The 12,885-nt window shown below is 35.3% G+C and overlaps 1 long non-coding RNA gene across 3 annotated transcripts in view, besides 1 other annotated feature; it reads right to left on the bottom strand.

The window, feature by feature from the left end:
• Positions 1-12,885, bottom strand: part of CALCRL-AS1 (CALCRL and TFPI antisense RNA 1) — a 544,253-nt gene that overhangs the window by 484,472 nt on the left and 46,896 nt on the right. The gene's annotated exons all lie outside the window — the stretch shown is intronic.
• Positions 7,198-7,492: a silencer, noted in NCBI's record as "tiled region #13129; K562 Repressive DNase matched - State 9:DNaseU". NCBI's record gives its function as "represses a minimal TATA promoter and a strong SV40 promoter by Sharpr-MPRA in K562 cells {active_cell/tissue: K562}" and the evidence as "EXISTENCE:reporter gene assay evidence [ECO:0000049][PMID:27701403]".

Below are 12,885 nucleotides of genomic sequence, written 5' to 3'. Positions count from 1 at the left end.
GTGTGTGTGTGTGTGTGTTTAAAATAGCTGGTCTATAACAACTTAATTTCTTAATGGCATTAGACCTCTTTGGTGTTTATTTCTCTTCTGGGGACCTTTTTGCAATCTGTATTTTTCTTAAAAATCATCTCTTCCATTATCAATTTTTAAATGTGTTGGCAATGTTTGGCTGGTTATTAATATACTGTCTTTCCCCTTTAGGCCCACCATTCCATGCTACTACATGATGCTGGGGCTAGGGCAGGGCAAAACAATTTCCCCTTTGCCAGCTGGCTCCCTGTAGGGATGTGCCAATAAGGAGTCTCCCGGAGGGAAACTAAAAAGCTGGAGGAGACAAAGAAAGCTGTCTCTTCTTTGCTTGCTGTTCCTGTCAACATCACTACAGCAATACAGTCATATGCCGTATAATGACATTTAGGTCAGTGATGGACCGCATAGGCAATGACAATCCCACAAAATTATGATGGAGCTAAAAAAGTCCTATCACCTAGTGACTTCGTAACCATCTTAACATCATAGTGGAATATGTTACGCGTGTGTTTTGATGATGCTGGTGTAAACAGACCTACTGCACTGCCAGTAATATAAAAATATACAGTAATGCCCTAGGCCTTTCCATTCACTCACCACTCACTCTCTGGCCCAAGACTCACTTTCAGTCCTGCAAGTTACATTCATGAGTGACCTATACGGGTGTATCATTTTTGTTCTTTTACACCATATTTTTACTGTACCTTTTTAAGTTTCTTGCTTATTATAGATAATAACATTCTAATCTTTTCACTTTGAATATACTTTCCAAATCCATTATTTGTTTATTGATTTATAATGGCATCTTTAACTTGTAATTAAAGGAATCTATCACTTTTTATAGCTGTGGGTTTCTAGCGTTGAATAAGATCTCCCTCATCCCTAAGTTATACCTATAGTATCCTAGATTTTTTGGCAGCATTTTCTGTTGCTTTAGTTTAATATTGATTTTTGTATTGGTATAATAAGATACAGGTCTAATTTCATTTTATTCTAGATAGTATAGTATTAATAATACTTTCTATTAAATAATTATCTTTTTTCATGAATTAAAACACCACCTTTGTCATATATTACATTCAAATGTATATGAATATCAATTTTTGTTTAAATATTTGTTCTTTTATTATTCCGGTACCACAATATTACTTTCATGTGACAAAGTCTATCTCCTTGAGCAAACTTTAGATGGGCTCCTCTGAGTCCTCTTCTCAAATAGGCCTCAACATTGGTCTCTGTCCTTGGTGGGCCTGCATATCTGGTTTTAGCAAGAATGCTGCTAATTAGTTTAGAGAAAATTTTCTACCCTCAATATCTAATCAAATTTCTCACCCTCCACCCTTGATATATGATCAATCTGGCCTGCTTTTAGCAAAAATCCTGTTAAGTCATTTAGCAAGAATCCCCCAGCCCTTGATGTCTCCTCTTAGTAATTTTTCATCCATCAACAGCCTCCCACCTGCTTCTTGGCTATAAATCCCCAGGCCTCCTTGTTGTACTTATTATTGAAATTAGTTCTATACTGAGGTCTCTTTCCCCCATTCCAACAGTTTCTAAATAAAATCTGTTTTTACCACTTTGACTACTGTTTCACTCTGGGTTTTATTTGACATATTGTTATTTTATTGATAAAAGCAAGTCCCTAAATATTTTTTCATGTTTTTTGTTAGATACCCTAAGATATGCATACTCTTAAATGAGCTTAAAGATCATTTTAACCAATTCTTAAAAATTCTGTTGAGCTCTATTTGGAATTGAATTAAGTTTGTAAATTAATTATGGGAGAATTGGCATTTTATGATGTTAAATTTCTCTATGCAAAAAGAAGTGTCATATTTTGTTTGCACAATTGTTTTTATGTCTCTTTATTTTCTCAAATCTTACTTTATTCTCTTTAATTAAATTTTTTGATTTTTACGTGTCCTGCCCTTATTTTAAAATTTATTCATAATTATTTTATGTTTTTGCTAATATGAACTTTCCATTTTTAAGTGTTTATTGCTAATATAGGGAAAATCTGTATTTTGTATATTTATTTTATATGCAGTTACTGTACCAAATTATTTTATTAATTTATTTTTTAACTAGAAGTTTTATGTATTCTTGTTATGAAATATATCATTCACAAAAAGGTTTAGTTTCAACTTTTCTTTGTCAAGATCTCTACCAATCATTTTTCTTTTCTTAATGAACTAGAATCCCCAAAACAAGAGACTACCTCAAGAATTTCTCTATAGTTTCTTACTGTTATTTAAATGGTTTTAATGTTTTGCCACTTAGAATACTATCTGCTGTAGATTTTGCAGGATAGGTACTATTAAATTTTATTTGTTTCATATAATTCCTATTTAACATAGCCTTTGCATTAGGAATAGCTTTAATTTTATCAAGTACATTTTCAGCAAATTGATATAAATATGTCAATTTTCTTCTTTAATTTTTGATGAAATGGATTAGTTTGATAATCCCCTGATATTGAAATGCCCTTGCATCCCTCAATAAACATTCTTATTCACAACACTTTCTTTGGTACACTGCTAGAGTCTTTTTACAAAGATTTTATTTAGATTTTCTGTTCCCATACTTAAAAAAGAGAATGGTGAATAGTTTTGGTTAATTTTTTTTTAATTTTAATACAGTCGGTGCTCTTTGTCTGGGTTCCACATCCACAGATTCAACCAACCACAGATTTAAAATATTTGGAAAAAAGTTTTAAATTAAAAATAACAATACAGCAATAAAAATACAAATAAAAATATAGTATAACAATTCCTTATATAGCATTTACATTGTCTTAAGTATTCCAAGTAATCTAGAGATGATGTAAGGCATATGGAAGGATGCGCATAGGTTATATGGAAATACTACATCATTTTATATAAGGGACTATAGCATCTTTGGGTCTGAGCATCCATGGTGGTCCTGGAACCAGTCCCATCCCCCATACAATACTGTAAATAAAACATTTGTTTTTAAAGGTACATCAGCATTATGAAATAAATTAGGCAAAGTTACAGATTTTTCTTGGATTTTAAATAGCTCAAATAATATTGGAATTCTCTGTTCCTTAAAAGTTAGAAGAGGTTAGCTGAAAGCCATCTGGTCTTCCTTTCATTTTCAGTGGTAGATTACTAAGCAATCTCCTCATCTTGTCAGCAATAAGCAGTTTATCCAAGATTTCCAATTCTTTATTTCTTGGTTAGTTTATGTCCTGCTAATAGACAACTGGCTTTTCATTATTTTTAAATTTGTTGCCATAGATTTGTATGTTGAAATGTCTCATGTTCTAATAACTTCAAATTTTCTGGCTATGTATCTTTTCTCATTTATTCTGTCCCATTTTTTTCCTTCAAATTTCTAAGAGGTTTACCTACTTTATTGGCTTTTTCAAAGAACTAGCTATTGGAGTTATCTATTCTTTATACTTTTTTATTTTATTAATTTCTACTTTTATCTTTATTGACTACTTCCTCCTAGTTCATTCACTCATACTTCACTCCTAGCTCTGTGTGTGTGTGTGTGTGTGTGTGCGTGTGTGTGCGCATGCGTGTGTGTATTTATATTTTGTGAGGTTTTTTTGCTGGACTCTAATGTAATGTATTTTTATTTTTCTTTGCTAGATCATTCATGATTTTTCAAATGATTTCCTTTTTTATTCATGTATTATTTAGAATGATGACTATTAAATACCAGGTGGTTAATATATCAAGATTAAGCTATTAAAACTATTTCTAATTTTATGTGAATATGAACAAATAAACTGCCCTATAAAAATGTCCATACTTTAAAATGCATTTTTGAGGCCAATACATGTTCAATTTTTAACCAATTCATGCAAAAATTTTTTTTAAAATCATAATATCTAAGGATTTAGACATTTTGTATATTTATTAAGCCATGTTTTTGAAATAATGTAATGAAAGTCAGTTCTGCTTTTTGAGTCACTATCTTTTAATGGGTAAATGCAATTCATTCATATATAACATAATGACTAATATATATTATTCTATTTCTTCTATCATATTTTATTTTCTATTTTTCTTTATTGTGTTCTTGTTTTTCTTTTCCTTAATATTGCTAATTTATCTAATTGTTTTTTCCTTTTCTTTCTTTGTCCTTTATTAATGCTGTTTAGTTTGGTTACTATACTTTCATCAGTCCCTTTCTTTCTTTTTCCTAGCATAATAATCAGCAACTATTTAAAAGAAAAAGATCCTGTTTTTCCCCTATAAAACTCTCATAACATCCTACTCGCAACACCCTTATAAGATGAAACTCTTAGAATACTTTATTTTTTTATCCTTTTTCATTTACTATTTTTTCTGGAATAGCATGATGGTATTCCTTGCAGCATATTCCTCCATTTCAAGGGTTCCTGTTTGGTCTTATACTCCCAGCCTATAACATTCAGCTATAACTATACACATATATACATTTTTAACCTCAGCACCTAACAGTTGTTTCCTCTACTCATCCTCTTCACCCATGATTAGAAACATGTTTTGATTCATTTGTTATTTAATTAGTTATTTACTTGGTAGTTTGCCTCAGATGATTTCTATGGATGATACACACTTTAAATATGTTAATATTCTCAAATATTTTCCTTTCTCCTGGCAGCTAAATGTAAACTTGGCTTGGGTTGGGCTCTAGCTGTCTTTCAAATAGTCTGTAATTTATTGTAAATATATTCTAACAGCTGAAGTTGCAGATGAGACACTATTCTTATTTTCTTTTCTCCTTTTTTGCAAATGAAACTTGTAGCACCAGAAAACACTAAGTAGGTACCTCTTATTATGAAAAATGTAGACTATTTGTCTTTCTTCATCTGAATAAAATTTTCTTCTATTAATTTTTGAATTATTGTCTCTTCTCCAATTGTTGGCACTTCCATTTGTGGAACCCTATTATTCACATTTTATGTTATATTACTTATTACTTTATTATATATTCTTTACCTTATTTTATTATTTATTATTGAGCTACTCCTGTCTGCCACTATTTTAGGTCTTAATGTTAATCATTTTGCTTTTACTAATCCCCTGAATAATTTGCTTCAAAAATGTAAAAATATTACATTTTTAAAAGTTTGAGAGCTCTTTTTTCCACAGTGCTTGAATTTTATTAAAGTTTATATTGTTTTTGTTTTTACTTAAATTGTTTTCTGTCACCTGCAGCTGTTCTATTTCTCTAGATGCTTGTTTTGTAATCTCAGGCATAGCAGGCTTTGCTCTACTGTTCAACTGCTCCTCAATGTCATACAGGCAGTGACATGTCCTGGGGGCCATGTTAGTCTCAGCCCAAGCAGTAGGCCAGCTTTGACTGTTAGATTCCTCTCATGGCCCAAGGTCTCACATGCAGCCAGCTGCTAGTCAGTTCCAGATGTTCTCTGAAGGAGCAGATAAAATTTCAGGGTGGAAGGAACACGAGAAATGCTTAATGAGGTTACCATCTTTACTCTTTGAATCTTTTTTGTTTTATTTTATTTGGATAACTAATAATTTATCTAATGTTTTGTTTTCCAAGTAATCAGTTCTTGAATGTATTTATATTTATTAGTTGTCCCTTTTTTTTTTTTTTTTTTTTTTTTTTTTTTTTTTTTTTTTTTCCAGACAGAGCCTTGCACTGTTGCCCAGGCTGGAGTGCAATGGTGCGATCTTGACTCACTGCAACCTCCGCCTCCCAGATTCAAGCAATTCTCCTGTCTCAGCCTCCCAAGTAGCTAGGATTACAGGCACCCGCCACCACACCCAGCTAATTTTTTGCATTTTTAGTAGAGATGGGGTTGCTCCATGTAGGCCAGACTGGTCTTGATGCCTAAAGAAATTTCATGAGGTAAGTCAAAATTATAGATCTTTTACAAGACTAAATTCAAAATTTAATGCAAGGTCAGCAAACTTTTTTGTAAAACGCCAGATAGTATTTTTGGTTTGGGGGCCATATGGTTTCTCCTGCAAATACTCAATCTGCCATTGTAGAACAAAAGCAGTCATAGACATTATGTATGTAAATCATTGGTGATAGGTATGTTCCAATAAAACTTTATTTACTAAAACAGGCACCAGGCCAAATTTAGCCAATGGACTATGGTTAGCTGACCTCTTATTTAATGAAAAAATTATAAATTGATATATTTAACTGTCCTGAACTGAGAAAAAGCATGATAATGACAATACCCTTACTACTTGACTCAATGCCAGTAGATTTAAGCAGCATCCTATGCTGCTAATTAGAAAAGAACCAATACTGTTGTCATAGCAACAGTTTGACTGGTTGCTGTGCTGCATTACATGCAAGCTATTTTAAATGATGTATGCAATATAATAACACATAAAATTATCAACTATACCCCCATGTAGCTTAAGAAAAGAAGTCGTCATTCTAATGTTATGCAATCATTAGTGACTTATACAGTGAATTAGCCCATAGCTCTAACATGTAAGAAGCATTTAACTTATAATCGTAAGATGACTTTTAGAGGCATATTAAGTCTTTTCTTTCTATGTCTCTTTGGATATATTCACACATATATAAATAATTACATATAGATAAAGGATTTTTGTTTAAAATCTAGTCAAATGTATTTTTATTTACTAATAGTTCTGAATTAATTAATTTAATACTAAAATTTAAATTGTCATAGTGGTTAATAACCTGAAGAAAAAAAATCTTCTATTTAGAGCAGATTCCAACAAATATATTTTTCCGTTAATCAGACTCTGGAAATACCAAAGTGGTGGCAAGAAGGACAAATGTTTATTTTCCAATTCTACAACCATTAAAATTCATGGTTTGGAAAAACATGTAACAGTTTAGAAAAGGTTCATGATATAAAAATATGCAAGAAATTACTATAGCTATAGAATTTTAAGTGATATTATCAATTCAGAAATAACAAGAAAGTTGAGCAAAGAATTGCTTCTCACCATTCACATCAGAAAAAATTCAAAAACTAAAAGGATCCGGCCCATGCCTCAAAGAAAATGCCTTGGCTTGCCAAGGCATTGATAAAAGATATTGAAGACACAAATAAATGGAAATATATTTCTTTTTTTTTTTTTCAGGATGTCTAACTAGGGACATTGGATGTCAGTTCTCCTCAGAAAGAAGATCACAGTTACTGGTGAATGGACAAGTTATGCATGGAAAACTGAGGGAAGTGGGCCAGGACCCATTAGAGTGCCCACAGAAAGAAGTTGGGTTGCAGAAAAGGAAAGCAGCAAGAGTCTGGCAGGGATGAACCCCTGAGGAACTCAGAGCCTCACGGAAGGGGTAGACAGAAAAACATCTCTGCTGTCTTCACCCCTGCAACAGTTGGCTGACTGCCAAACTGTTGAGAAACACTTCTGCTCTTGTGACCCACAGCAACACTATCAATAATGATTTGGGGAGTTCCAGAGGACAAAGAACTGGGAAGCCAGATTGCACAGGCATGTCTGCACTCCCTGTACACCTGAACTAAGATGACAGGTACCATACTGCTTGTGCAGCTGTGGTGGCCACTGCTCTGCTTGAGAATGTGCCTTTGAGTCACCACACCCCCAGATCACCCCAAAATGTTCCCTACAACCCACTCTGACTTTGGTAAGCACAGTGGACCAGCAGGTCCCTGGGAAGCTGTGGGACTCCTGGAGATCTAAGCCTCAGCATAGGCCATGCTTAGGGAAGAGGGGATTGCAGCTCACCAAATCCCCTCTGGGGACAAAGAAAATAGGAGCACAGCTCCAGCTGGTGAAGGTGGCAGCACCGATGCCCAGGAACAGACATGGAAAGGGGAACATCTCCAAACCCTTCCCTTAGCCACTGTTGCAGATGCAGCAGCAGTCCTTTTCACTGGGGGCTGGTGTGTGTGCACTCAGAGAAAGCATTTTTTCATGCTTTTTGTAGTAGCCACATCCCCACTGAAAGTGAGCCCATGCCACCTGGGTGTATACAACTCAACTCCCCCTCCTTACACAGAGGGCAGTATCCCAGCAATGGAGGACAGACAAGCCATGGAGTTGCCTGCTCTAGAATGAGAGCAGTGTCTCTTCCCCCAAGACTATTTTTGCAGGAGGTGTCAGAAGGGCATATCCAGTGCCCACAGCTGTACTGTGGCCAGGAAACAAAGGACAAAGTCTTCATGAACTTAAGGTCATACGCCCTATGACCAGGCACAATAGGAAAGCAGATAGCATTTCTGTCAGGTTATGATGAAGAGCTTGTACACCTCTCTATCCATTTCCCCGGTATCTCAGAGCACCCAAGCACAATCTCTTCTTGCAATGACCCCATCAGCGTGGGTGCTTCCACTGGTCATCATCTCACCTGAGGGCCCACCAGCTACTGCTCTTAAGTGTCACCTACTGGACTGCAGCCTGAACTGCACAAGCAAATTAAAAGCCTGCTGCTTGAGGGGCTTAGTGCTAGCCCATGAAATAAGCTTTCTGAGTCCTCTGCACCCTCAGCCCCACATAATACAGCGTGTGTCAGCTCATACATCCAATACATTACCACAAAGCAGCATCCAATAAAGACACCACAGAGAAGCTATCCACAACCAAGTAACCCAGTCTTGGCCCCCTGAAAGCACCCAGAAATGAAGCTAAACAATCACTAATAACAAACATCACAGTCATACTCTCAAGAGAAAAAGAACACAAAAATTAAAAAGTTTCACCCAAATGATAGCATATTCAAAAGTAAGAAGAAACAGCACGTTCACATGAGAAAAAGAGTTCATCACAAGAACTACAGCAGTAAAAAAGGCCAGAATGCCTTGACACCTCCAAAGGATTACACTAGCTCTCTTGCTCTCTAGGAATGGATACTAAGCAAAATGCAAAGTCTGAAATGACAAAGAATTCAAAATATAAATTGCAAGGTAACCAAATAAGATCCAAAAGAAAGGGCCGGGCGTGGTGGCTCACGCCTGTAATCCCAGAACTTTGGGAGGCCGAGGCGGGTGGATCACGAGGTCAGGATATCGAGACCATCCTGGCTAACACGGTGAAACCCCGTCTCTACTAAAAATACAAAAATAAATTAGCTGGGCCTGGTGGCGGGCATCTGTAGTCCCAGCTACTCGGAAGGCTGAGGCAGGAGAACGGCATGAACCTGGGAGGTGGAGCTTGCAGTGAGCCAAGATCACGCCACTGTACTCCAGCCTGGGTCACAGAGCGAGACTCCATCTCAGAAATAAAAATAAAAACAAAAACCTTTGGCCGGTCGCGGTGGCTCACGCCTGTAATCCCAGCACTTTGGGAGGCCGAGGCGGGCGGATCACGAGGTCAGGAGATTGAGACCATCCTAGCTAACACGGTGAAACTCCATCTCTACTAAAATATGCAAAAAATTAGCCGGGCGTAGTGGCGGGCGCCTGTAGTCCCAGCTACTCAGGAGGCTGAGGCAGGAGAATGGCATGAATCCAGGAGGCGGAGCTTGCAGTGAGCCGAGATGGCGCCACTGCACTCCAGCCGAGGCGACAGAGCAAGACTCTGTCTCAAAGAAAAAAAAAAAAAAAAAACCAAAAAAAAGTTGAAATCTAACACAAAGAACCTAGAAAAATGATTCAGGATGTAAAAGATGAGATAGATATGTTAAAACCAAATAGAACCTCTGAAATTGAAAAATTCACTAAAGAAATTTCAAAATAGAGTTGGAAGCTTTAACAATAGACCAGACCAACCAGAAGAAAGAATTTTAGAGCTTTAAGACCAGTCTTTTGAATTAACTTAGTTAAGGCAAACAAAGTCTCTCATAAATATAGAGTTATGTAAAGTAACAAAACCTATGACTTACTGGCATTCCTGAGAAAGAAAAGCAAAAGTAAGCAACTTGAAAAACATATTTGAGGAAATAATTCAGTAAAATTTCCCTGCTCTAGCTAGAAAGGTTGACATCCAGATCGAAGAAATTCAAAAAACATCTGTGAGATACTATACAAGATGACCATCCCCAAGTTACATAATCATTAGACTATCCAAACTAAATGTAAAAGAAAAAATCTTAAAGGCAGCTAGAGAAAATAACCAGATTACCTATAAAGGAAATCCCATCAGACTAACAGCAGACTTCTCAGCAGAAATCTTACAAGCCAGAAGAGACTGGGGAGCTATTTTTACCCTTCTTAAAGAAAAAAAAAATGCCAGCCAAGAATTTCATATGCTGCCAAACTAAGCTTCATAAATGAAAAAAAATAAAGTCTTTTCCACACAAGTACACACTAAAGGAATTCATCACCACCAGACCATACCCAGAAGAAATACTAAAAGGAGTTCTAAACATGGAAATGAAATGCTACTATAAAAGCACACATAAATACAAAGCTTACAGATCCTATAAACAAACTATATAATTGAGACTACAAAGCAATCCAAACACCATGATAGGAACAAACCCTCACATACCAATAAAAACCTTGAATGGAAATGGCCTCAGCACTCCACTTAAAAGAGATAGAGTGGCAAATTGGGTTTTAAAAAACTAAGACCTACCTCCTGCCTTCAAGAGACACATCTCATGTATATGGACACCCACAGTCTCAAAATGAAAGGATGGAGAAAGATCTATCATATAAATAAAAAACAACAAAATAGCACCACTTACTATTCTTGTATCAGATAAAAAAGACTTTAAAATAACAACAGTAAAAAAAAGACAAGGAAGGCCATTATATAATGATAAGTTTTCCAGTTCAACAAAAAGATTTAGCCATCCTAAATATATATGCACACAAACAGGATCACAATGATTTATAAAACAAATACTTCTATGCCTAACAAAAGAAAGAGATAGCCATACAATTGTAGTAGCAGACTTCAAAACAGCAGTGACAGTACTAAACAGATCACTGAGGTTAGAAAATTAACAAAGAACTCTATACTTAAATTGGACTCTTCACAAAATGGCTCTAATAGACATCTACAGAATACTCCACTCAACAACCACAGAATATACATTTTCTCTTCTGCTACTGGAGCGTTCTCTACAATTTACCACATGTTTGGTCAGAAAGCAAGTCTCCCTAAATTCAAAAAATTGGAATCATAACAAGCATCTTCTCAGCCCACAGTAGAATAAAATTAGAAATCAATACCAAAAGAAACTCTCAAAACCACACAAGTACATGGAAAATATACAATTTGCTCCTGAATGGCTTTTTTGAGTTAAAAATGAAATTACGGGAGAAATCAAAAAAGGTTTTGAAATAAATGAAAATAGAGATACAACATACCACAACCTCTGGGAGACAGCAAAAGCAGTGTTAAGAGGAAAGTTTATAGCATGAAATGCCTACATCATAAAGACATAAAGATCTCAAATTGACAGCCTAATATTTCACCTAAAGCAACTAGAAAATGAAGAAGAAACCAAACATAAATCTAGCAGAAGAAATAACAAAGATCAGAGCAGAACTAAATGAAACTGAGACTGAAAAACCATACAAAGGATCTATGAAACCAAAAGTTGGTTCTATGAAAAGACAAACAAGATTAATAAACCACAAGCTAGATTAACAAAGAACAGAGACGATCCAAATATGCACAACCAGAAATAACAAAGATGACATTACAGCTGATACCACAGGAATACAAAAGATCCTCAGAAACTACAGTGAACACCTGTATCCACACAAACTAAAAATGGATAAATTCCTGGAAACACACAACCACCCAAACTTAAACCAGGAAGAAACTGAAATCATGAGCAGACAAATAATGAGTTACAAAACTAACAAATCAGTAATAAAAAATTGGCCAACCAAAAAAATCCCTGAACCAGAGAAATTCACAGCTGAATTCTACTAGACACACAAAAAAGAGCTGGTACCAATCCTACTGAAACTATTGTAAAAATTCAAGGAGGAGTTTCCTCCCTCTGTGAAACTAGCATCATCCTGATACCAAAATCTGGCAGTAACATAACAAAAAAAGAAAACTACGCCAACATCACTGATGAACACAGATGTACAAACCCTCAACAAAATATGAGCTAACCAAATCCAGCAGTACATCAACAAGGTAATTTATCATGATCAAGTGAGTTTTATTCCTGAGATGCAAGGATGATTCCACATATGCAAATAAATAAATGTGATTCACCACATTAACAGAATGTAAAACAAAAACCATTTGATCACTTCTATAGATGCAGAAAAAGCATTTGATAAAATCCAACATCCCTTTATGATAAAAATCCTCAATAAACTAGGCATCAAGGGAACCTATCTCAAAATGATGAGTCATCGATGACAAACCCACAGTCGACATCATACTGAATGGGGAAAAGTGAAACTATCCCCCTTAAAACTGGAACAAGGATGCCCACTCTCACCACTCTTATTCCACATAGTACTGGAAGTCCTAGCCATAGTAATTGAGCAAGAGAAACAAATAAAAAGCATCCAAACAGAAAAAGAGGAAGTCAAATTATCTCTGCTAACCGATGATATCATCCTATACCTAGAAAACCCTAAAGATTGCTACAAAAAAACCTCCTCAACCTGATAAATGACTTCAGCAAAGTTTAAGGATACAAAATCAATTTATAAAAATCAGCAGGATTTCGATAATGTTCAAGAACATTTCAAAAATGTTCAAGATGAGAACCAAATCAAGGAATCAATCCCATTTACAACAGCCACACAAAAAGATATTTAGGAATATTTAACCAAGGAGGTGAAAGATCTCTACAAGGAGAACTACAAAACACTGATGAAAGAAATCATAGATGACATAAACAAATGGAAAAACATGCCATGTTCATAGATTGGAAAAATTAATAAATTAAAATGATCATACTGCCCAAGGCAATCCACAGATTCAATGCAATTTTTGTAAAATTACCAAGGTCATTTATCACAAAATTGGAAAA

Source organism: Homo sapiens, chromosome 2, assembly GCF_000001405.40.
Source record: "Homo sapiens chromosome 2, GRCh38.p14 Primary Assembly".
In the NCBI taxonomy this organism is placed as follows: domain Eukaryota; kingdom Metazoa; phylum Chordata; class Mammalia; order Primates; family Hominidae; genus Homo; species Homo sapiens.
The sequence above is the reverse complement of the archived record's forward strand: the minus strand, read 5'-3'. Positions and strand labels throughout refer to the sequence as shown.